The 27,231-nt window shown below is 35.5% G+C and overlaps 1 protein-coding gene across 3 annotated transcripts in view; it reads left to right on the top strand.

The window, feature by feature from the left end:
* The window catches only part of NMBR (neuromedin B receptor), a 72,639-nt gene that overhangs the window by 14,737 nt on the left and 30,671 nt on the right, over positions 1-27,231 (top strand). The window lies entirely within an intron of this gene.

Below are 27,231 nucleotides of genomic sequence, written 5' to 3'. Positions count from 1 at the left end.
ATACATCATCTGTAAGACATTGTTATGGGTGTTGAGGACCAGCAGGCACCAAGACAGACCAGTAACTACCTTCTGACTTACATATCTGCTTACTATCTTCCATCCACCTATAATGTCATACAGCTAATCATTGATTATATTTGCTTTCTTCACTTGCCTTTCTCATTTTCTTGTGATCTGCCAAAGATTGTAACTCCAGACAATGTCATTGCTTTCTTCCAGCAAGTGGAGAAGTGACTGCATGATACATGTATTTGTAACCAATAAACAGGGGACAGTGTTCTCATTGAATAGGAGTACTGTGCTGGATAGGAACAAATAAACATGGACAACTTAATGATCCCTCAGAATGGTTAGATAAGAGATATTTGTGTATATTCCCATCTTCTCAGAATCAGAATTTCAGGTTTGCTTTGTGTTGATTCCCAAGAAGTGACATCTAAAAGCCCTAACAACCATTTGCATAAGAAGGAATAGTGCTTTGGCTTTTACCATTGTACAGTAGTGAATGCTATTGTTTAGTCAACTGTATACAATTGTCAGACATGTAGAAATCATCAGTGTCTCCTTTCAGGGGTGTATAGAATTGTCTTGAACCTTAATTGCATGTGTAGAAGAAGGGAGTGCAGCATCATTGTCATTGCTGAGATCTATGAGGGCCAAATAATGCCAATCTTTCTCTTACATGTTCTGATCCAATTGGGTAATAAAACAAAGGAATAAACCATACGTGGGCCAAAATATCACACATAAAGATTAGGCTGAGGAGGGATGTTGCTTATTTCTTTAGGAAAATATGATCCTTAGTGAGACTGATCTCAAATGTATGGCAATTGGTAAGGGTGTATATTGGAGTGACAACCTGTGTTTCTTGCATGCTAACAGCTGCAGGTTCCAAAAGCAGAAAAAGGGCGATTCTCAATGCATAAGCATTGTTTAGGACTCTGCTTGCTTTACGTTTGCTAATGTTACATTAGGCAAAGAAAGTTTCAAAATGAACCTAGATTTGAGAAACATCTTCTACCTCTTGATGGATCTGTGAAGTCACATTGCAGAGGTGTGGGTGTATGAAAAGAAAATATTTGTTGACAACTGTATATTCTATTGCAATGTGCCTGCTGATTACAAATGTTAACATGCCTCCCGCATGTCTTCACTTTCATTACAGGATGCCAAAACTGTCATCTAATTATAGAATTAAGATTGAAGTCCAGGATTTTGTGATTTGCATTATATCTGGATGTGGCTACTCTTGATCTAGAATCTGGAGAAACAAAGGGAAAAGTTATGTTCTACATGACATCAATATACAATGGTGATACAGGAATAGGATGACTACAGTAGACACTTACACTCCAAAAGTGGAAAAACAGGAGATATGTAACGGTCACTGGTCCATAACAATTCTGAAATCTTGCTAGGAAAAATATTGCCTGTTGTCCCTACTCTGGAGGCAGGGAACATTCCATGATTAAGGCACAGTAGTATTACCCTGAAAGCTGTTCTGCAGTATACTATACTCTTCTGCTTAATGGAAGTGGTTCCCTGGTCCATTGTTGTCAGTGGCCTGTAGCTCCATTCTCTGTGTTCTTGGCCGAAAGTGTCTTCCCTTTTTCATTAAAAAAAGAAATGACTATGCTTGAGTAAATAACTTGCTCAGACTGCTTCTTGCTAGAAAAAAGCTGGGGGGCCAGAAATCTTCTTTATAATTTGACCAATATCTGGCCTTTTAAGCCAAAGTAATAGTTGTTTTGCTGGTACAACCCTCTTAATCACTCTTTGGCTTTCTGTGTAATAGATTTAATATACTTAGTTTTAGTAAGAGTCATATAATTAAAGAAATATCTCTCTCTACACATACATTTACAGCTATTTTTGGATTAGGCTTTTCTGAAGTGCTCTTAAGATATCTAGAAATCTTTTGTCTAATTGAGATAGTCATTAGTCATGCCTTAAATATTTAAAAAGTCTAATCAAAGGACATTATAGCCACACCATTAATTTGACTTTTACCCTAAGACCATTTCTTACATTAGAAAGTTTTATGGCTAGGGAGACTAGAAATTAGAAAAAAAAAAATCACATGTAGCCAGTCCTGACCTCTCTATATTTTCTCCAAGTTTTTCCTGCAAACTCATCTCTAGGTCTCTTTGCAAGGTAATGTAGATTGATTGCTGAAACATGGGTAAGTGAGGGGGAAATAAACTTTGACCTTATTTTCTCCTCTGAAGAGCTCAGAAAATTATTGGGGTACATAGCACCTGGATGGTGCTGCAGAGCCTGGCCCTTATTTACACTCCTCAGCAGATCTCAGTGCGAAGAGCAAAGGCCAAGCAGAGAACTAACCAAGTACAATTCATACCAGGGGTGTAGTTGAGAAATACAAAGAACCCCATATAAATGAATGGCATTAATGTGAGTAGGAGGGAGCACACAGTACCTAAGATCACGGGCTCTGGAATCAGAGATTTGAGGTCTCAAGCAGATTATTTCACGTCCTTGAATCCCAGTTTCTCAAACTGGCAATGAAAATCGTATTTACCTCAAGTGATTGTTGTATGTGGATTATGAAAGGATTCGGAGAACATTTATCCTGTCCTTAATGAGACCGTGGACCAACTATGGTCTCCTTGTTATACAGACTACTATATATTAACAAATTAATACTCCTTAAGCAAAGAAGAGTCACTACTTCCTTGAGGGTAAAGAACCTTTGTGTTGGCCAGAGTAAGAGTGTTTCAGGGAAGAATAAATAACAGACGCAAATTCCATGTCTGTTTTCAATGTCTTTTCTCTCTCTCTCTCTCTGTCTCTACTTGGAAAATAAGTGCATTTTCCTTTTGAGTCTATCAAGATACCAAGACATCTACTTGTAAGCAAGGACTAGTGGGAGTGAACCCCAGAAAGACTTAAGGCTGTTAGTTAATTTAATCATTAAAATATACCTTTGTTCTTTTAGCCCTAAAATTTTTAAAATGACCAGGATACATTTATAAATTTTCTGAGTAAGTGGGCAAAATTTGAGGCACCAATACAAGGGTGTTTGCTCAAATTTGCTTGAAGTTTTTAGTTTCAGATAAAGGAGGGAAGGCGAGCTCAGATTTACTACTACTACTATTAGTACAAAAAGTTGCTGACATTTATTAATCACTACTATATGCCAGTACTATTCTAAACCCTGGGAGTAATGTATAATCTTTTGGTAGACATTCTTGGTGTCCTAAAACTTCTTTCTGAGATTAAAAGCATTTAAGACCTTGTGGTGTAAACAAGAAACAGGGTAAATTTTGTTCAGAACCCAAAATAGGATCAAAATAAATAAAAATGAGTTAAAGCATTATGCATGATGATTAACACATGCAAATTAATGCATAAATGTTATATATTATTACATTGACATCTGGTCTAATTTAATAGTTTGCAACAAGTTACCAAACATTCAAAGAAGAATGAATACTGATTCCTCTTAAGCTCTTCTGAAAAATTGAAGAGGAACACTGCCAAACTCAATTTATGAAGCCATTTTCACCCTGTTGCCAGAGTCAGACAAAAACACCACAAGAAAACTACAGGGCAACATCCCAGAAGAGTACAGATGCAAAAACCCTCCATAAAATACTAGCAAACCAAATTCAGCAACATAGATAGAAGAATAATACACCAGTGGGATTTATCTCTGAGATGCAAGGATTGCTTAATACATTGCAAATCAGTAAATGTGATATACCAACTTAACAAAATGAAAGACAAAAACCACATGATCATTTCAATAGATGCAGAAAGATCATTTGACAAAATTCAAAATCAATTCCTCATAAAACCTTTCAACTAATTAGGCATAAAAGGAACTTACCTCAACATAATAAAGGCCATATATGAAAAGCCCACTGCTAACATCATAATCAATGGAAAAAAAACTGCAAGCTTTTCCTCTAAGATCCAGTACAAAGTAAGGATGCCCACATTTGCCACTTATATTCAACATAGTACTAGAAGTCATAACCAGAGCAATTGGACCCAAAAAGATATCTGTACTAGCCTGTTCATGCATTGCTATAAATAAATAATGGAGACTGGGTAATTTATAAAGAAAAGAGGTTTAATTGGCTTATGATTCCACAGGCTGTACAGGAAGCATGGCTGGGGAAAACTTAAAATCATGGCAGAAGGCGAAGGGGATGCAGGCATTTATTTGTACAGCCAGAGTAGGAGGAAGAGAGAGAGAAAGCGTGGGGAGCTGCTACACACTTTTAAACAACCAGATCTCACGAGCACTCACTCACTGTCACAAGAGCAACACTGAGGTGGAAATCTGCCCCCATGAGCCAAACATCTCCCACAGGTCCCACCTCCAACATTGAGGATTACAATTCAACGAGATTTGGACAAGAACACAAATTCAAACCATATCAACATTTAAATCAGAAAAAAAGAAGTAAAATTATCTCTGTTTGCAGATAACATAATTATACAAGTAGGAGACACTAAAGACTCAACCAAAAAATCCTGTTAGAACTAACAAATGAATTCAGTAAAGTTGCAGGACACAAAATCAACACACAAAAATCAGTGACATATCTGTACACAAACAAAAAATGAGCTACCTGAAAAAGAAATTAATAAAATAATCTCATTTACAATAGCAATAAAAAGAAAAAAATACTCAGGAATTAACTGAACCAAAGAGGCGAAAGACTTGTACAATGAAAATTATAAAACACTGATGAAGAAAAAAAAAGACAGATAAATGGAAAGACATTCATATGCATGTATTGGAAAAATTAATATTATTAAAGTGTCCACACTATCCAAAGTGATCTACAGATTCAATGCAATCCCTACTGAAACCTCAATTCTGCATTCTATACAGAAATAGAAAAAACAATCCTAAAATTTATATGAAACTACAAAAGATCCCAAATAACCAAAGCAATCTTGATCAAGAAAAACAAAGCTGGAGGCATCATACTTCCTGATTTAAAAATATACTATAAAGACTACAGTAATCAAAATAGTATAGTATTGGCATAAAAACAGACACACAGACAAACGGAAATTAAGGGATCCCCAAAATAAGTCCACCAGAAGGTCAACTTATCTTCAACAAGAATGTAAAGAAAATCCAGTGGGGAAGTGATAGTTTCTACAACAAATCATGCTGGGAAAACTGGATATCCACATGCAGAAAAATGAAATTGGACCTTTATTTCACCCCCTATAAAAAAATCAACTCCAAATCAATTAAAGTTTTAAGTGTAAGACCTGAGAACATAAAATTACTGGAAGGAAACATAAAACAAAAGCTTCTTCGCATGGGTCTGAGCATGAATTTTTGGATAGGACACTAAAAGCCAGACAACAAAAACAAAAATACAGATAAGTTATTTGAATTAAAAAGCTTCTGCACAGCAAAAACAAAATAAAACAAAACAAAAACCACACACACACAAAAGTAAAAGGCCTTCAAAACCAAAACTAAATAAACCCCCCCAAAACCCAACATTGAATGAGCAACCTACAGATTGGGAGAACATTATTTGCAAACTGTATATCTGATAAGGGTTAATATCCAAAATATATGAAGAACTCATACAACTCAACAGCAAAAAAAAAAAAAAAAAAAAAAAATCCCTCAAATAACCTGACTCAAAAATGGGCAGAAAAATAAATAGACATTTCTCAAAAGAAGAACCACAGATGGCCAATAAGTCTTAAAAAGTGCTCAACATCGCTTATTATCAGGGAAATACAAATCAAAATCACAATAAGATATCACTTCACACCTGTTAGAATGGCTATTATAAAATAAAAGATGTGTTGGTAAGATGTAGAGAAAAGGGAGCACTTGTACACACTGTTGGTGGGAGTGTAAATTGAAATAGTCATTAAGGAAAACAGTAGGGAGATTCCTCAAAAAATTAAAAATAGAGCTACCTTAATAATTCAGCAATCTTACTTCTAGGTATAAACCTGAAGGGAATGAAATCATTATCTCATAGAGCTATCTGCACCCCAGTGTTCACTACAGCCTGATTCAACAATAGCCAAGGTATGGAAACAACCTAAATGTCCATCCACAGATTAATGTATAAAGAAATCTCACACACACACACACACACACACAGAGAGAGAGAGGAATATTGTTAAGCCCTTAAAGGAGGAAAATCCTGCCATTTGCAACATGAATGAAAATGAAGGACATTATGTTGACGGGAAATAAGCCAGAAACAGAAAGACAAATACTATATGATTTCACTGTATATGGAATCTCTAAAATAGTCAAATTCATAGAAGCAGAGAGTAGAATGGTGATTGCCAGAAGCTAGTGGGGAGTGGGAAATGGGAAGATGGTCAAAGACTAGAAAGTTTCAGTTATGCAAGATGAATAACTTCTGGAAATCTAATGTACAGCAATGTGACTATAGTTTAACAATACCGTATTGTATACTTGAAATTTGGTAAGAGGTAACTCTTACATATTCTCACTGTGAATATGTTCACACACACACACACAGGTAATTATCACACACACAAAGATAATTATGGGAGGCGATGGATATGTCAATTAGCTTTACTGTGGTCATTATTTCACAATGTATATGAATATCAAAACATGAAGTTGTACACCTTAAATACCTATAATTATTTGTTAGGTATACCATGATAAATCTGAAAATAAAAAAGCAAGTTACATTCATTGCTTTAGAGCTGTGCTGTTCTATGTGTTTGTCCTTATTCACCCCTTTTTTCTTTTGAATAAATGTTGAGCATCTATATATAATACCAGCTACTGTGCAAGGTGTTAGAAATTTGTGAGAACAGTGTAGCCCTTGCCTCCATGGGGCTTACATAAAAGCATGAGTAATTGTGTATGTATGTATATGTGTATATGCATGCACATGTATATGTGTATATGCATGCACATGTATATGTGTATATGCATGCACATGTATATGTGTATATGGTTGAAATGTATGCTGCTGATAATTTGCTTAAAATAAAGGATGATTTATATTTAATCCTTCAGAGTATGGTCACAAACTGTCTTGGCTTATTTTACATCTGGAAAACAAGGGGAAGTAATCTCTATATATGTTTCCTCTCTACCATTTTTTGATTCTCAGTATTTTGCATTGGGTCAGAGTAATTTACCCTTCTTCTCATGACATACCCAATGATGGTAAAGTGGGGTTGAATAGAGGTCAATTTAGGTACTCAGAATGGTATGTTTCACAGAGGGACAGCTGAGATAAGGCAATCTGAATAGCTGCCTAGATTCATAAATCACAACCCTTAGCCAATTCACATCTTTCTGAAATCTCTGACCTGCCAAAATTAAGTTTGTCTTTCTGCATGAATAATTTATATTTTCTGGAGTGGAACTGGGGATGGCTTAGTAGAAAGGGTCAACAACCAATCATGTTATTTTGGGCAAATGATTTAACCTTCTGGGGTATGTTTCCATTTCTCCAAAAAGAAGGGATTGGATTCTATGATGTGTAAGTAATTTCACAATTCTATGGTTTTATGATTCTAATTCTTATAACCATACTTAGAAGTATTGTACTTGCTCTGAGATTTATTGTCAGTAATTTAGATGTGCCAGCAATTGCCTGACCTAATGGTTAAATTGAAGGTCTTATTTTCCTTCTTTTCAATGAGTTCATATTTCAAATATTCCTAAACTGCATGATTTCTAGTTGTATAACACATATAACAATTTCTTTTTTGAATAGTTCGCATATCTACAGCTATTATTTTTGGCGGGGGATATGCCATCCACATATCTCTATAGGAAAGCCCTGCCTGGAAATACAGAAGACTTGAGAGTGCATTTTTTCCCCTACTTTACTGGCAATTATTTAAACACACAATGTTAATTCTGCTAGTTTCAGTTCTTCCATCTGTAAAATGGAGAAAATGATTCTTATCTACTAGATAAGTTGTGACCAAATGAGATAGTACATGAGATAATATCTTGTACAGTGCCTGATACACATGGGTTTCTCTAAAAACAATATTTTCACTCTTATTATGGAGACTAGACTCATTCTGGCAAGCTTGGGAGAAAGTGTACCAAATAGGTATAAACTTGGGTTCTTGAATCAACAAACATGAATTGGTACATACCTTGTAATAAAAAAGTCTTGGAAAAATTACCTAACAAGTCTAAGCCTACTTTCCTCATCTTCTTGGGGTTTCTGGAGCTGTCTTGATCTGTGGGTTTGTTTTCAATAAATTTTGGGAAAAATAATCAGCCATTATTTTTTCAAATATTTTTTCTGTCCCCTTTCTGTCTTCAGGGACTCCAATTTTTCGGCTAGACTGCTTGATATGGTTTCGAAGGTAACTGATCCTCTCTATATTCCTCCTTTTCCATCTTCGTTCTCATTATATTTCATTGTGAATAGTTACCGTGTTAATTTCACTAATCTCTTCTGCTACAGAATCTCATCTGAAGTTAATCCTATTTATGGCTTTTAAAAAAATATCCGATGTGGTATTTTTAGCTCTAGGAAGGGGTTCGGCAAACTACGGCTTATGGGTGTGCCACCTCTTTTGTGAAATAAGGTTTTATTGCAGCCTCGCCATATCCTTTCATTTACATATTGTCTATGATTGCTTTTTGCTACAGGGTCAGAGTTGAATGGTTTATTGTTTAAAAATGCTAATGATCACCCCAGCCTTTAGGGAGTTGTAATATTTTCACCGTGGAGGGTCTCGCCTTGATGTAGATGGCTGCTGACTGATTGGGATGTTGGCTGCTGAAGGTTGGGGTGACTGTGGCAATTTCTTAGTATAAGACAATGAAGTCAGCCACATCAACTGACTTCCTTTCATAAAAGATCTCTCTGTAGCATGCAATGCTTTTTGACAGTATTTTACCCACAATAGAACTTCTTTCAAAATTGGAGCCAATCTTCTCAAGCCCTGCTGCTGCTTTATGTACTAAGTTAATGAGATATTCTAGATCCTTTGTTGTTATTTCAACAATATTCACAGCATTTTCACCAGGAGTAGATTGCATCTGAAGAAATACTCTCTTTCCTCATCCATAAGAAGCAACTCCTGGTTTTATCATGAGATCACAGCAATTCAGTCACATCTTCAGGCCCCCCACTTCTAATTCTAATCCTCTTGCTCTTTCCATCCCATCTGCAGTTACTTCCTCTACTGCAGTCTTGAAACTTTCATAGTTTTCCATGAGGTTTGGAATCAACTTCTTTTGAAATTCCTGTTGATATTTTGACCTCCTTCTATGAATCACAAATATTCTTAATGGCATCTAGAATGATGAATTCTTTCCAAAATATTTTCAATTTACTTTGACCAGATCTATCAGAAGAATCACTATCTGTAGCTTTATGAAATGTATTCCTTATATAATAAGACTTAAAAGTTGAAATTACTCCTTTTCCCATTGGCTGCAGAACAGATATTGTGTTAGCAGGCATAGAAACAACATGAATCTCTTTGTACCTCTATACCAGAGCTGTTGAGTGACTAGGTGCACTGTCAATGAGCAATAATATTTTGAAAGGAATCCTTTTTTTTTGAGCAGTAAGTCTCAATAGTGCATTTAAAATATTCAGTAAACTATACTGTAAACAGATATTCTCTCATCTAGGCTTTGTGATTCTATTTATAGAATGCAGGCAGAGTAGATTTAGCATAATTCTTAAGGGCTACAGGATTTTTTGAATTCCAAATGAATATTAGCTCCAACTTTAAGTTACCAACTGTATTAGCTCCTAACAAGAGTCAGGCCTGTCTGCTGAAGCATTGAACCCAGGCATTGACTTCTTTCTAGCTATGAAAGTTTTAGATGGCATCTTTTCCCAGTATAAAGCTGTTTGATATACATAGAAAATCTGTTGTTTTGTGTTGCCACCTTCATCAATTATTTTAGATCTTCTGCATAACTTGCTATAGCTTCTACATTAGCACTTGCTACTTCATCTTGCATTTTTATGGTATGATGATATGGTATGGTGATATACCATCTTGCATTACAAGGTATATTTTTATGGCTTCTTTCCTCCAACCTCATAAACCAATCTCTGCTAGCCTCAAACTTTTCTTTTGCAGCTTCTTTAGCTCTCTTAGCCTTCATAGGACTGAAGAGACGGTATTTTTCTGGATTAGGTTTTGGCTTAAGGGAATGTTGTGGCTGGTTTTGTAACCGAATACAAACTCAGCTGCTCACTTCTTGCAAAGTCAGTAACATGGACAAAATGCGGTGAAAGGAAAGTGACTTTATTCCAGAGCTAGCAGTGGGAGAAATGGCCAAGGCTCATACCTTAAAGGAACCATTTCAAACTTTATGCTGAGGAGAGGGGCTTAAAAAGGGAACTGGGAATGAGAGGCATGTGGGGAGTAGTGCTGGGTACAATGTCTGTGTGTCTTGTTCTGGTAGCTATCTTGAGTCATGGTCCACCTGGAGTGTGGTCTGGGATCATATCAACAATGGCTGCATATTGACTACCACCTTGAGGTAATCTCTAGAATTTTGCAGCTTGGGCTCCATTCCTGGTCTGTCTCAAGATTAGCCACTGGAACTTCTAAGTAAGCACGTAATTAAATACAAGTATATAGTTAGGTAAATGTGCATGGTGTAACATAGTGTAGAGTGGGAAAGGGAGGGAAACAGAGTTTTAAAGTATGTTTTAGCGTATTTTTTTAAGGCTAAGGAGGGAATAAAAGGTTTCTGTTGTTTGCTTCAAGGTTACATCTTGAGACTAGGGAGAAAACAGAAAATGAAAAAAAAAGGTTTTAAAATGTGTTTTGAAGCTAAGCTACTGAGTTACAGTTTGATCTTCTATCCAGACCACTATAATTTTCCCCATGTCAGCAATAAGGCATTGTTTCTTTCTTATCATTCTTGTATTAATCGGAGTAGCACTTTTAATTTCCTTCAAGAATTTTTCCTTTACATTCACAGCTTGGCTAACTAGAGCAAGAGGTCGAGCTTTCAGTCTGTCTTGGCTTTGGTCATGCTTTCTTCACTAAGCTTAATCATTTCTAGCTTTTGATTTCAAGTGAGAGACCTGTGACTCTTTTGCTTGAACACTTAGAGGCCTTTGTTGGGTTATTATTTGGCCTAATTTCAATATTGTTCAGTCTTAGGGAATAGGGAGCCCTAGGATATGTAGAGACGTGGGGAAACAGCCAATTGGTAGAGCAGTAAGAACACACACAACATTTGTCAATGAAAGTCACCATTTTGTATAGGCAGTTTTCGAGGTGTCCTGAAAAAATTACAGTAGTATCATCAAAAGTCACTCATCACAGATCATCATAAAAGATGTAATAATCATGAAAACTTTTGAAATTTTGTGAGAATTCCCAAAATGTGATACAGAGACACAAAATGAGCACATGCCATTGGGAAAATGGTGCTGATGGACTTGCTGGATGCAGGGTTGACACCAACCTTCAATTTGTAAAAAATGCAGTATCTGCAAAGGACAATAAAATGAAACACGATAAAATGAGGTAACTCTGTAACTGGTAATTTTTGACTGGATGTCTGATGTTGTAAATTTTATTTTGTTGTTTGCTGAATTTTAAATAATGTTAGAATTTGTTCTGGCATGCACTTATTCTGCAGGAATCAGGTAGATATCTTTGAAGCTTTATTTAAGTATTTGTAAGGTAGGTTTAGATTAGCTTGTCGCATAGGGCAAATTTAGGCTGACAACCAAGGTAACATACTTGTGAGTACTCTACAGGATAGATCTTGCATTACAAGGTCTTTCCACTCTGCTCTGGAGACACAAATTACTTTCAGCCCTGTTTGTATTTCAAATGTTTTTAAGTGTTTCTCTGGCCTTGGGTGTTTTCTTGTCACACATGAACAGGTCAATACTCAGAGCCTCAAGTAGACCCCTCTGCAGATCTCTGAAGTTCTCCCTGTTTAGCTTCTACCTCTATAGTACCATATTCCTCTTAGCAAATTCTAACCATCTTTATTCCTCCAACATTGATCTCTGGTTCTTCAATTCAGTGAGACCACTGGGCTCTGTTAGGGTCCCATCTTCCTAAAAGGTGGTGTGAAACTGCCTCTGGAGTGAGCTGATGCATTCAGGGCTCACTCAATTTGTTTCCTTTTTCTCAGAGATTACAGTCCCATGATACTTGCTTTCCAACAGCAGTCTCATCTTTTATAATGATTGTTATAGGTTTTGTCCAATCATCTAGTTGTTTAGGGCAGGAGAGATTATTCAATCCCCATTATTCCATTTCTACCAGAACACAAAAGTCTCTTAAACTGGTCTTGTGGTTCTCAATAATGTTCTTAAGAGTTAAGATCATTGGATATAGGACCTCTGAATAAATACAATGTCAATTTTGCAATATTTGTAATATAGTACATATGGCTTTATACTTTACTTAAAATTAAGCCAACAGATTTCAAATCCAACAAGTACAATGTCAATTTTTGCAATATTTGTAATATAGTACATATGACTTTATACTTAAAATGATTTATACTTAAAATGAAGCCAACAGATTTCCATGCAAGTGACAAGTAGTATACGGTCATTAATAAGCCAGACTCTGTGGGTTGTTTAGTAAAATTCTTAAAACGAAAGACTCTGAAACTCTTTGTTTCAAGGTCTATGACTTATTATTTTTATTGTATTGGATACATTTTCTGCATTTTTCTGGGTTTCAATTTTCCGTCTGTAACAGTAAAATAATAACACCTCATAGGGTTCCCGTTAAGATTAAATGAGATAAATTGTGTAAAGTATTTAGCATAGTATCTAGACTGTAAATACCAAATTAACATAAAATATTATTATATTGTTGCTGTTTCTGTGTTGTTATTGAGAAGTTGGTAATTTGTTATGTTGAAGATGAGTTTGTAAACCTTTACATCCCTGCCACACCTAGAGTCCTTGGCAATCCTTCACACTTTATGTTTTGGGTGAGAACAGACCAATTTACTTGGCATTAACTGGTTGGACCAGCTCCTGGGGCACCAGCCAATGGCAACCATGAATAGGCTTGGTATAATAAGCCAAGCCTAATGATATGGTCCTATTTAGATGGGGGTATCCTGACCCAGTCATATGTCCCATCCTGGTGTGGTGAATGCTCTGATCCTTCACCTAAGTGCCATTTCTCTGCTGCTGGGAATATTGGCTGCTGACAGTGTACAACTATTTCACTCACTGAGCATAGCCCTCCATTGCAGGGAAATGTTTCAGCCAGCTTATGTCATTTCCTAGAGGCTGACGCATAACCAGTAACTGGCTGATGTGGTGCTATAGAGCCTACTCCCATCTCAATTCAGAACAATACTCAGAGTCCATTCCATTTGCAGGGCTGCCCTTGGCATTGCCTAAGACTTCAGTTGCAATGACATTGCAGGTGTTTCTGTTCAGTCCTGCCTTCCACATTTCTTTACGCAGGCAACTCCTGAGAATACTTTTCAATAAACTTTCTGCAGAGAGCTTATTATCTCAGAATCTTTTCCTATGGACCCAATCTAATACACTTGGGGAGCATGAATGTAAGACACACACAAATAAGAGAATGCTGTATTCTGAATGCTGACAATCTGCTACTCTCACCCTTTGTGAGACTTGACATAGGCCAATTAGAAGTACTGAGATAAAAAGTTGTACAACTGCTAAGATGATTTCTATGTCCTTCCTTCCATGGGTTTCTTAACCACAACCTTCTATCGTCTTAACAAGTCTGTAAATGTTTTCTATTTTTAATCTGAAAGACTTTTATAATACATGTGTTCCTAAATACATTTCATGCCTGCTGAGTAAGAGCTTAAAGAGAAAGAAAGGTTATAGAGAAAGTGTAGAAGCAGAGGCAACTAGCACAGTGCCTTCTGAAATTCAAAAAATGATAGCTCTAGGCAACTTAGTCATCAGTCCTTCAGATGTTCCTAGCTAAAACTGAAGGGATATAAGTGTGATTCTTCAATTAACAGGTTCTTCGATTATGAGACAATCTGCATCATATAAACCTAACTTGGGGACCTCTCTTCTGAAGTAATCAAAAACTGTCATTAGCAAATGTGAAACGTTTGCATTAAGGTTGGCTATGTGTATGTGAATAATGTTGTTAGTAATGACCACAAATATAAGTGTATTAGAACTGGACTGTTAGCATATACCATTCAACATGCTCAGGTTTTTATGTTATTTCCAATCACTTTAATACCAAAGGAGTTAATGAACATTATGGCACCAGAACTGGATCAATTAGATTTATTGGTAGGAAAATTATACTCATCTTTCTGGAAAATACTGATTTTAAAATTTGTGCATGCCCAGTTTTCTTTTCTTTTTTTCTGTGTAGGGACATATACATCTAATAATCAATGGTTTTTGTGAAATTATTTGTAACAAGAGTCAAACTCAGAAAGCCCAGGTTTAATACTACACCTTTGTCAGTGCTTATTCCTCATGTCATCCCAATTTTCATCAATATAAATTATATAAGTCATCACTTTGTTATCATTTTTCAATGTTGGATGTAATGATAAATTGTAAATACTTTTGTTGTGTACTTTAGTGTGAGAAAAATTAATGATTGCCTTGTTTGGCAAAGAAGTATACTATAACTGCTTCTTAATTTTGGTATATACTGAATCATATTTTGTACGATTTTTTCATATTTGACATTATTGAAATATGTAGCATTCCTTTAATTTGGGAAATACTTGTAGAACTGAACTTTGGTTCATATAATCAGTCTTATGTGCATAAACTCCAGATTAATTAATTAAAACCTCATGGTAAATTGCTGGGCTATCATTAGAATTTCCGTTCCTTATTCCCTCTGTGACATGTTACCAGAGAAAATTCACTGCTTTGAATAATAATGAGCTTGAGACAAATTTAGCTTTTGAAAGCTGATTAATGCCTTTCCCTGTAGTGAACACCTAATTTATAAGACACCTTTGCTCCCTTTTATAAGAAAATTTAATGTCCATTATTCCTTGAATTTCTACTTATTAAGTATTGAGATGTGCTAATTTATATTTAAAATATTAATATAGATCTAGGGGTGTAGATTTATTGGAGCTGGTAAAATATAAAACTATATGTGAGGTGATTATGTTAATATGCTGCTAACTACAATTATTTGACTTTTTGGAGTCATATGAACTAAAACTATTAAATCCATCACATATTTTCTGGTAGTTCCAAAAGAAGTGATTTCTCTAGCTCTATATGTTTGGGCTATATACTTTTCAAGGTGTAGTGAAAGCTCCTGTAAATGTCTTGGTGACCTTCAGTGACCTTATCATCGCAAGCATTATTGTACACACAAATAAATGGAAGCCAGTCCTATTATTTATGTTATTGGGATTGGAATGGAAACAATTTAAGACATGAGTTTAAGGTGCTACAAGTTTTTAATAATAGTTTTTATCTATAAAATAAACATAGGATTTCTTAACATTTTCAGTGAGGTGGCAGATTTCTAATAATATTAATCATGATCATACTAGCAGGAGTTAATAATTGGTAAAAAGCAATTATGCTAATGACAATGATAATAATTATGGCTTATTTGTTTAACAGTGAATAACATTTACAGTAATAATAAGCTGAAAGATGATTTATACCAATAAATCAGTTGGCAAAAATTTATAACAAATTTTAACGGAAACATGAATAGGTAAGAAATAAAAAGAATGTGCCTAAATAATACCTGGCTAAAAATTGCTTATCAGTTGTCAAATGATACAAAAAGATCTTTACAAAAAGGAAGACTCTGCTGGGAAGAATTCCCTGAATTTGGTAGACAGAACAGTTGGGAATCAAATGATATCACAGATATGATATAAGGGATTTCTCTTGATTGTCAAGATGTCAGTACTCAAAAGCATCAATACCCTTGTAGGGTTTCAATACTGCTATTAGTGGATGTATGGTCCTAGTAATTTATCCTTGAGTTCTTCCTAAAAGTCTCTGAAAATAGAGCTCCTTGAGGGCCTCTATTTGTGTCCAAACAAGATGTTAATAACTCTACATACCCTCTTAGAGCCAAACATTCTATATACTGCATCCTACAGTAACTGTAGGCTGAAGAGGTATTTTTGTGTCGATGTGGGTATATGTGTTTGGGTATCTTTTTGGGAGACTAAGAGGGTGAAGAGAAGAAGGGGTATTGTTTTAGTCCATTGTCATGCTGCTGATAAAGACATACCCAAGACTGGGCAATTTACAAAAGAAAGAGGTTTAATTGGACTTACAGTACCAAATGGCTGGGGAAGCCTCACAATCATGGTGGAAGACAAGCAGGAGTAAGTCACATCTTATGGGGATGGCGGCAGGTAAAAAAAGAGAGCTTGTGCAGGGAAACTCCCATTTTTAAAACCATCAGTTCTCATGAGACTAATTCACTATCAGAGAACAGTGCAGGAAAGACCCACCCTCATAATTTAATGACCTCCCACCGGGTTCCTCCCACAACACGTGGAAATTGTGGGAATTACAATTCAAGATGAGATTTGGATGGGGACACAGCCAAAGCATATCAGGTATTAAAGTTCATTCTTTGATTGAACTCTTAAAATCATAATTCAAAGTCATTAGATAATTTTCACAACTATATCAAATTCCAAAACATTTTAGTGTTTAAATTTGATGACCACAGGAGCAAACATTAAATCTAGGAACCGAAAAACAACTATTGTTCACGGGAAGAAAGAATAATACTTGCATGTCTAGTGATAGATTACCTCTCTTCTCCATTTCCACCACTTCTACACTAGTGTAGTTCAGGTCTAGCCTTAAAAGTTTCTCCATTGTCTTCTTATTGTCATATTACCTGCTCAAAAATATCTACACCCAGCACCAGAGTAATAATCCTATTTTTGACTCTGTTGTTTCCTTCCTAATTCTCCACAGCTTCATGACCATTGACTACACACCTTAACTTAGCATTCTGAGTGTTCCACACGTTGGCCTTTCTAGTCCGATCTCCCATCTTGCTAGAAAATCTATGCTTCAGCCAATCCTAACTCCTATACCTCAAATAGGCCTTATTTTTTTCTGCATGTGGATCCTTTGCATGTTCTAAAAAGATCCTCTTTTACCCTCCCACTATACTCTCCATCTTCCCCATTAAAATCCTATTTATTTTTTAGGTTAAATTTAAATTTCTTTTCTCTATGATCTCATTCCTGATCAACTGAGTAAAAGCAAACTTTTTGAAATTTTAGAACATTTGGCAACACACAGGCTAATATGAGGTCACTTGACGTATTTGCATAAATTAGAAAAACCAGTCGATTTGAGCAGAAAGTCCTGAAGGCACACAGCTTCGTGAGCAAACAATCACTCTGAGTGAATTAGAAAAAAGTCTCTCTCAATCTTTGCAGATTTAGCTTCTTGCCAATATGTATGACTTATTGATTAGAGATCTGCTAAGTTTCAGTTCTCTTTACTGTCACTATCTAGCTGAGTGGGCTTGAAAATATTATTTTACTGCTCTAGATTTAGTTTTGTCATCTGTAAAATGGGAATAATAATATGGAGTTCATAGTGTTGCTATGAATATGATAAGAGATAATGAAAGTAAATTAGCAGCTTGATATCTGGCTCATAAACTCTAATCATTAAATTGCATTGACCATTACCACAATTATGTGTTATGTTACCACCTTTACTCTCAAGGCTCACTTGTTTTTCTCCTTAAAGTTTCTGTATATTAAATATAGTTATAGACACAAATACATTTTTATTTATATTTGGCTGAAATGTTTACTGATGTTCATTATCAAGTCAATACGTCATGTAAATGTTAATGGTACCACATTTCTTGAACCCTGATGTTATTTTCCTCTGCTGTTGACATCAGCTAGGCACATGCTGACATGAAATAAATATGAGGAATATAGGAGTCTCATATTAATACCCTGACTTTGATTTAAAGTTATGACAGGTTTTGAGAAAGACATTTATTAGCATGATCCATCATTCTCATTCAATTACTGAAAAAATTTTCTATTTCCTGAAAGAAAATTTGTGAAAAAGTATTAGATTACCAACCACAAAAATGTCAAAACCACCTAGTTATTTAAAAAAAATGAAAAGAAAAAAAGGTGATAGAGATGATTATCTCACACAATAGCAAAGAAAAAGGCATTAGCCTTGACCCATGGAGATTGCCTTCAAGGCATAAAGGTAATTTATTTTTCCAACCTGGGCTCATTCAAATCCTCTTTTCTGGCAATATTGCTCCAGGTTATATGCAGTGGGCCAAATTCATATCAGTCTTTTAACCTCTCCAGAACACTTTGCAGCTGCATGTATATATAGGCTTTGAGTGGCGCTTTTCCTATTTTGTAATTGGGCTCTTCATGCTGAGAAACCCCTGGGGGATTGGGGGATGGACATAAAGATGCCACGTAGGGGGAATTGGGCAAAAGGATGATTTCTGTTACACATTAATATATTTGCATGTGGGAAGTTGGATTGACTTCAATATTTTGGCTACATTTATATTTACAAAATGTCAAAGCCTAGTCTATGAAAAGGTAACATTTCAGGCAGTTATCTTTTATGTTTATGACAATCATTTAGAGGTTTACAGATAAATATCTGTAAATAAATATCTGTAAATAAATATCTGTAAAGCAACTAAATAGTTGCTTCCAAATTTGGTAAGGCTGCTTGATATTCTTGTCTATTGTGGATAAGAAAACATTCAAAGTGAGCATCATTTGATTCTTGAAAGCTTGTGTTCCACCTGCACTATGTATATGATAGAAAGACTAAATGTAGTGAATATATTTATTCAGATACATGGAATCACTTCATTTTTATTTTTAATTATTTTATATTGTTTTATTATTTCAGTCAAGACCTACAGAAAGGTGATGAAAGAGTCAAAGCTTGTGAGAGGAACATCTCTTATATAGAATAAATCTATTTTATAAACCTCACCAACAGTTGAATGTCAATAAACTTGATACTTAACCACATTAAGTTCCTCATGCGATTCATGAATCCTTTAGCAGTTTCAGCAAAACCAGAAGTTTGAATCACCAACTTTATTTTTATTAATGAAGTCTTCATATGCCACTCTCAGTGTGTATGATTCAATCTATTTTCAGAACTGAAAAATAAATATGACTTTAGGCTATAAAATAGCTTGTCTATTTTATAGGAATGAGAAAACAATATAAAAGAGATTCTAAATCATATAGTGTAGAAAATTTCCATCCTTTGAAAGTATATATTTCAGCTTTTCCAAATGCTAAGCTTAATTGAGCCTAAAAGTAGCATCTAGCATGTATCATAAATTTAGTTGTAGCATTTAAAAAATTTTTGAAAAAAATTATAAAATGAAAATGCTATTGCATTATGGAATAATGCTTTTACATTTTTTAATGTTTTGTGGTTCCCAAGGATTTTTCACATAAATTATTTTGTATAATTTTTGTTATAACTTTGTGAGATGGGTAAGGCAGGTATGGCTTAATAATATTTGCTTTTGTCAATGTAAATCCTCTTTTAATCAAATTAATTATCATATTTATATAAATGTAATTTATAATTAATTCTTTTTCTGACATGACATTCACTGCTCTGGTAACTGTACCTATACTTAAATAGCATTGATGAAAATAAAAAGCTGGAGATGTAATCATTCTATTGTCATCCTTTTGTTACTTTGATTTGGTTCCTTCTGCATTTTCAGCCAGTGATTTTTAACTGAGATTTACAAAATGTGACCAGCACTCAGTAGGTGGCGCTAACGAGACGTACAATATCGAATTGTCAAATCCTATTGCCACAGAGGATTTATTACTGAGTTTAGAAATAAGGATGTTGGGAGTAAAGGCAGGCTGATTGTACTGTCTCTCATTTGAGGAGTGCAGATGCCACATCAAATTATTTGAGAGATTTATCCAATCCATGCTTTATATTAATTTGAGCATAATGTTTATTGTTTCTTGTCTACTTCATAATATTTGAAAAAAATAAAGCATCTTTTTCCACTGAAAACTAAGCCTAGTTGTTCACCTATATGAAGTGCTTTCCTGACATATGCTGCAATAGGAGAAAAACTAGATTACATTGTGGTGATTCTGTTAAACATGAAATATCGAATGCAAATGAGATTCTTGGGAGCTACTAATTGCTTAGAAATTAGAATCCTGCTTATCTTTGAAAAATACCTAGCAGGTTATTTACCAGTTTCCCATTCAGGCCAAGTGTTCCAACTTTAAAAATTACTATTTTCTTTTTCATTTTGCCCATGCTGGTCTCGAACTCCCAGCCTCAAGCGATTCTCCCGACAGCCTCCCAAAATGTTGGGATTACAGGCGTGACCCACTGCACCCAGCCAGAAAATTACTATTTTTTTACTCTGTTAAACATTTGGAATGAAAATCAGATGTATTGTGGCAATTAAATAGATATTTTGAATAAGCAAATGCTACTTAATTAGAAAGGGTTGAAGTATTTGCTTACCTTTTCAGTTTAAGAATTAAGCTACAAACATGACATTCACTTTTGGGTTGGGGAGTGCCCTGATGGTTCCTGAACAAGTTATTTGGGAGCCATCTTACCAAGAAAGAAACAGCTACATTTTAAATGGGAATTCAGAGGCGTTTACTTAGAGCGTACTGATGCACGTTCTCTGGTCACCTTTCTATACAGATTAAATCAGCATTGACATTTCTCGTAGCCTAAGTTTTTCACTATTCAATTTTCATCCAGTAAAAACCAATCTCATCTCAGTTCTATGTTTCAATTTGCATAAAATGATTTATTCACTTTTTTATAATCCTATTTGAAACCGGTGGGTGGATAAAACTATTTTAAAGAAGTTCCCTCAAATACGACTAAGGTTAAGAGACAAATACATAAGTGACAAGCTAGTGGTTTTTTACAAGTAATATTAATAATTGGAAAATTCCGAGAAATCATATTATTATGTAACCAAAGCAACTTTTCTCACTAAGAAAATCATTTAATTTTGTTTGGGTTCCAACAAATCAGAAATTATGATTGTTGTACTCATTGCCCCTTGCTAATATAAATGACCTCTTCTTAGGTAACAGGTTTTGTTGTGTAGGGTGGTATAAAGGCTAAGCCTGTGTCTCAGTGATTTCAGTGTGTAAGACATTGGGTATGTCTTTTTTTTTTTTTGAGTTGGAGTCTCACTCTGTTGGCCAGGCAGGAGTGCAGTGGCACGATCTCTGCTCACTGCAACCTCTGCCTCCCAGGTTCAAGCAATTCTCCTGCCTCAGACTCCTGAGTAGTTGGGAATACACGCGCATGCCACCACTCCTGGCTAATTTTTGTATTTTCAGTAGAGACAGGATTTCACCATGTTGGCCAGGCTCGTCTCAAGCTCCTGGCCTCAAGTGATCCATGCGCCTTGGCCTCCTAAAGTGCTGGCATTACAGGTGTGAGCCACCGCACGCAGCCAGTATGTCTTATTTGATCTATGTCTAATTCGATTTTATTTTGATCAAAGCTATTAAAGACACTGATGTAAACTATATTACCCATTTAGAAACCTCCATAGTTAGGGGGGTTCTCATAGATTTTCTATAAACGAATTTGGCAGTTAAGATGAAAAGCTGATGATCTGGGCAGGTCCTCCTCCACTTCCTTCTCTTTCTTCCTTTAGTTAACACCTTTGTTGATATATAATTCATATCACATGCCATTTACCCATTTAAAGTGTACAATTAAATAGTTTTTGGTATGTTCACAGAGTGTACAACTGTCACCACGGTAAGTTTAAAAATATTATCACCCTCAAAAGAAAATCCACATCTGTAAGCATTTCCCCCCAACTCCCCTAGTCCTAGGCAACCACTAATCTTTCTATCTCTCTAGATTTGCCTCTTCTAGCATTTCACATAAATTTCATGCACTCCATTTCATATAAATGTAATCATACAATAGTGATCTTTCAAAATTAGCTTCTTTTACTTAGCATAATACTCTCAAGATACATCCATATTATTGCTTATTGATTCTTTTTTAATGCCATCCAATATTCCATTGTATGAATTTAACATGTTTTATTTAATCCATTCATTAGTTGATTGGACTTTTGGGTTGTTTCTACTTTTTGGCTATTATGAACAATTCTGTGATGATGTGTATATAGGTTTTGTGTAGACATATATTTTTAATTGTGTTGAGTATATACCTAGGATTGAAATTGCTGGATAATGTAGTAATTTTATGTTTAGCCTTATGAGGAATGGCCAGACTGTTTTTCAAAGCGGCTACACCACTTTAAATTTCCACTAGCAATGTATAAGGGATTGAATTTCTTCATATGCTTGCCAACACTTTTTTTTGTGTCCATCTATTTGGTCGTAGCCATCTGTCTTAGTTCATTCAAACTGCTATAACAAAATACCTTAGACTGAGTAACTTATAAACAAGAGCAATTTATTTTTCGCAGTTCTGAAGTCTGGGAAGTCCAAGATCAAGGAGACTCGTGGTGTCTGGTGAAGGCTCATATCTATATATGGTGCCATTTTGCGGCATCCTTACATGTGGGAAGGGGCAAATAAACTCCCTTGGGCCTCTTTTATGAGGGCATCAATCCCATTCATAAGGTTTCTACCCTTATGACCTAATCACTTCTCAAAGGCCCCACCTCTTAATACAATACCCCTAGGAATTAGTTTTCAATGTATGAATTTTAAAAGAGTAACAAACATTCAGATCGTAGCATTTCATCCCTGTAATCATCCTAATGAGTGTGATGTGGTAACTCACTGTGAGTTTGATTTGCATTTCCATGATGGGTAATAATATTGAGCATCTTTTCATGTGCTGATTGGCCTGGGAGGCAGAGGTTGCAGTGAGCAGAGATCGTGCCACTGCACTCCTGCCTGGCCAACAGAGTGAGACTCCAACTCAAAAAAAAAAAAAAAAAAAAAGACATACCCAATGTCTTACACACTGATTATATATATTTTTTGGAGAAATGTATTTCTTTCTCTTTCCAATGAATACCTGGGGTACATGAAGGAGATTTTAAAAAGCATCTTTTTCTTACTTCTGACCTTATATCCTCGAGTCCCAGTGACTTTTGCAGGTGCTCACCATGGGTGCAAGTGTGGAAGGGAAATGTGGGGTCAGAGCCCCCACACAGAGTCCCCGGTGGGGTATTGCTTAATGGAACTATGAGAAGGGGGCCACTCTCCTCCAGAGCCCGGAATGGTAGATCCACCAATGGCTTGCACCATGTGCCTGAAAAGCCTCAGACTCGCAATGCAAGCTATGAAAACAGCTGAAGCAGGGAGCTGTACCCTGCAAAGCCACAGGGTTGGAGCTGCCCAAGGCTGTGGAAGCCCACCTCATGCATCAGCTGAGGTGGGCATGATTAGATTTCAGACTTGCATGGGGCCTGTAGCCCCTTTGTTTTGGTCAATTTCTCCCATTTGCAGTGAGTGTGTTTATCCAATGCCGGTACTCTCATTGTATCTAGGAAGTAAGTAACTTGCTTTTGATTTTACAGGTTCATAGGAGAAAGGAACTTGCCTTGTCTCAGATGAGACTTTGGATGTAGACTTTTTGGTTAATGCTAGAATGAGCTAAGAATTTGGGGGACTATTGGAAAGGCGTGATTGGTTTTGAAATGTGCGGACATGATATTTGGAAGGGGCCAGGGGCAGAATGATATGGTGTGGCTCTGTCCCCATCCAGATCTCATCTTGAATTGTAGTTCCCATAATTTCCACATGTTGTGGGAGGGACCAGGTGGGAGGTAATTGAATCATGGAGCGGTTACCTCCATGCTGTTCTTGTAATTGTTCTCACGAGATCTGATGGTTTTATAAGGGGCTTTTCCTCCTTTGCTCGGCACTTCTCTCTTCTGCAGTTAGGTGAAGAAGGATGTGTTTGCTTCCTTTTCTCTCATGATTGTAAGTTTCCTGAGGCCTCCCTAGCCATGCACAACTGTGAGTCAATTAAACTTCTTTCCTTTATAAATTACCTAATCTCAGGTATTTCTTTATAGCAGTGTGAGAACAGACTAGTACATAACCTTACTGGTGTTTCCTTTTATGTAAATGTCATTTTTATCATGCTGCTTTTATTATTTTATCATTGCCTGTGAATATTTTTACTTTGATATGTCTAAGTGTAGGTTTCTTTGTGTTTGTCCTATTTGGAATTTATTGAGTTTCTTTGATGTATAGATGGTTTTAAGTCAAATTTGGAAGGTTTTCAGTCATTACTTTTTTGAATAACTTTTGTGCTCATTCCTTTTTGTCCTCTACTTCTGTTACTTTCATTATGCATATTTTGGTTTGCTTAATTATGTTCTACATGTCTATGAGGCTCTGTTTATTTTTCTTTCTTTTCTTTTTCCTTCTCTGTTTTTCAGATTATATAATCTCTGTCAATCTATCTTTAATTTCACTGATTCTTCTGCCAGTTCAAATCTACTGCTGAGCACTCTAGTAAATGTTTCATTCCAAGTACTGTACTTTTAAACTGCAGAATTTCCATTTGTTTTTTAAAATAACTTTTACTTTTTTTTTGATAGTCTCTATTTGTTGAGACATTGTCCTCATACCTTTCTTCCCTTCTTTATGGTGTTCTTTAGTTTTTTAAATATATTTATATTAGATGCTTTGAGGTCTTTTTCTGCTAAGTTTGACATTTGGATTCTCTGAAAGGCAGTTTTTGTTGCCTACATTTTTCCGGTATAAGGGTCACACTCAGTTTCATTGTATGTTTCATAATTTTTTGTTGAAAACTAGACATTTTAGAAAATATACTGTAGTAAATCTGTATATGGAACTTGTTGGATTTTTTAGTAACAAGGTGTACCATTTCAATAATGTCTATTTTTTCCCACAATGTTCAACCTCTGATGTCACTACTCAGAGGGTGAAGCCTTGAGTATGTGCATCATCACCCTGGGATGAAGTGGTTTTAGCAATATTCTCTTTGATTCTTTCTTTCTCTGATTTAATTATTAATTTGTCTGCCACTGTAAGTATTACATCCAGTTGTTAGCCTCCTTGAATTGCTGGCTGATTGCTTTATAGTTTTTAGTAGTGCCTTGGGGGCATTAATTGTTCCACAGTGTAATCCAATTAAATTCAGCCCCCTTTGCAAGACTGGTTTTTGAGGCCTTTCTTTGACATTTGTTTTTTTATTGTGGAATAAAGAGAGTGGGTCAAGTCTCAAATGCCATAGACTTTGGCTGGTCTCCTAGATAGTGTTTATAAAATATAGGCCCTCAGGTAAACTAGGCTTTCTTCTTTTTCAGATCTATCCATGCTGAGTTCAGGCAGAGAATACTTTGCCCTATTCATGATGAGCTCTGCCCTGAACTCGTAATTCTAGCTAAGAAACAGTAGCTAAGTTAACAAGAACACTTATGAACCTAAAATGCACCTTTCTGGAATTTAACTGGCAATCTTGAAACACTTTTGTAAAAGAAATTTACTTCTATAAAGGAAGTCTCCATTTTTAAGGATGTGTGTTGGTATACTTTAGAAACTCTTACCATTGTTTTAAATTTACATCACAAGCCATACCTTTGTTTAAGGTGCTTTTCTGGCCATCTTGTCTTGACTTAACTTTTACTTGGGCACTGTATTTTTCCCTTAGTTTGAGCAAATGGCAATACAATATTTAGGCCTAAAATTTTAGCTCTGTGCTTACAAAATACAATTCTTTTTGTTTCACCTAAGAGTTGTCTTTTTAGAAATGCAAATTTGTTGTCTAGTTAACAATTGCTTAGGGCAATGAAACAAGTAATTGGAAGATTGATAGTCTGAATGGGGAAAAGAAAAGCTATTTAAAAGCCAGCAAATGACAATCCTTTATAAAAGCTGTAAGAATTGCTTCTCTGTGTTTGTATGTCTGTATGTGTTATGTGTATGTGATATTATTTAGTAAATAAAGCTGCTTAAAAAGTTTTTGGTAAAACAGGAATGGTTTCAAAATTATCAGTTAAATATAATTAGAAACTTGCTTGATTTAACTGTGAGTTTATGTTTTTAGATTAGAGCCTCGGGATTTGGGGGTCTGGATAGGTGGACATGATGAGGTCTAGAGACAAGACAAGTTCTCAGTACCCAGACTAGCAACTGCAAGCCAGAATCAAGCCCAATAGAGCCCCTTCTTCCCTGCTCTCCCTGTTTTGCCTCCTTGCTATTTTGGGAAGAGTTAGATTGTCCAGTTGCAGTCTTCACAGCTCTGTCTTCTGTTCTGACCCCTTTAGACCTAGCATGTAAATTCAGGACTCAGACAGGTCATAACCTTCATAGTCCTGACCTTCCTGGGTGCCACATGGCTACTTGGGACCCAGGATGACTGGGGAAGACATTAGGGAGGGTTCTTGTGTTTAGTTCCAAATTATTTTCAGTAATTTAAAATCTTAAAGTCATATTATGTTAGATTAAGTAATAGATAATCATAAAATGTCTACATCATTTGTAAGTTAAAATACTGAAATATAAATTATTAAACATGAACTTAAGTCTATATAATGACATGCTACTTTTAAATGCTATAGAAAAGGTGTTAATAAGCACTAATTTGAAGAACCATCCTTCTAAAAAAATTATAAAATGTTTTTTATCTACAAATGGTGATATAAAACAAACAGTTCAAAATTGCTTTCTAGAGTTTTCACTACAAATTGGGATTACTAAAAGTTAAAATTGTAGTTAATGTATGTAACTAAAACTACTAAATATGAGAGAAACAATTCTGTATACAGAACATATAAACAAAAGTATAAACAAAAATGTGCTTTTAATGAGAAAATATATAAAGGCATAAAAATGTGTGCATGTTTAAAAATTTTGTCTAGTTTGAAGTTACAGGTTTCAAATTGAAGGAGTAAAAAATAGATAAATCTAGATGAATATATAAAGTTGGAGAAAATGTAAAACAAAAGGTTTATGGAAATCTTGTGTGGTTAAAGATGACAGATTTTATAAATTTATTTACAGGTTTTATTAAAATAAGCTTTAACATTGATAATACACAACATAAAACTAGAATTTGGTTTTCTCTTTTGAACAAAAATTTTACATAGTATTAATTGTCAGGCCTCTGAGCCCAAGCTAAGCCATCATATCGCCTGTGACCTGCACGTATACATCCAGATGGCCGGAAGCAACTGAAGATCCACAAAAGAAGTGAAAATAGCCAGTTCCTGCCTTAACTGATGACATTCCACCATTGTGATCTGTTCCTGCCCCACCCTAACTGACCAACTGACTTTGTGAAA

This window comes from Homo sapiens, chromosome 6 (genome assembly GCF_000001405.40).
Source record: "Homo sapiens chromosome 6, GRCh38.p14 Primary Assembly".
NCBI lineage: Eukaryota > Metazoa > Chordata > Mammalia > Primates > Hominidae > Homo > Homo sapiens.
Note: the sequence above shows the minus strand (reverse complement) of the source record. Positions and strands in the feature narration are given on the sequence as shown.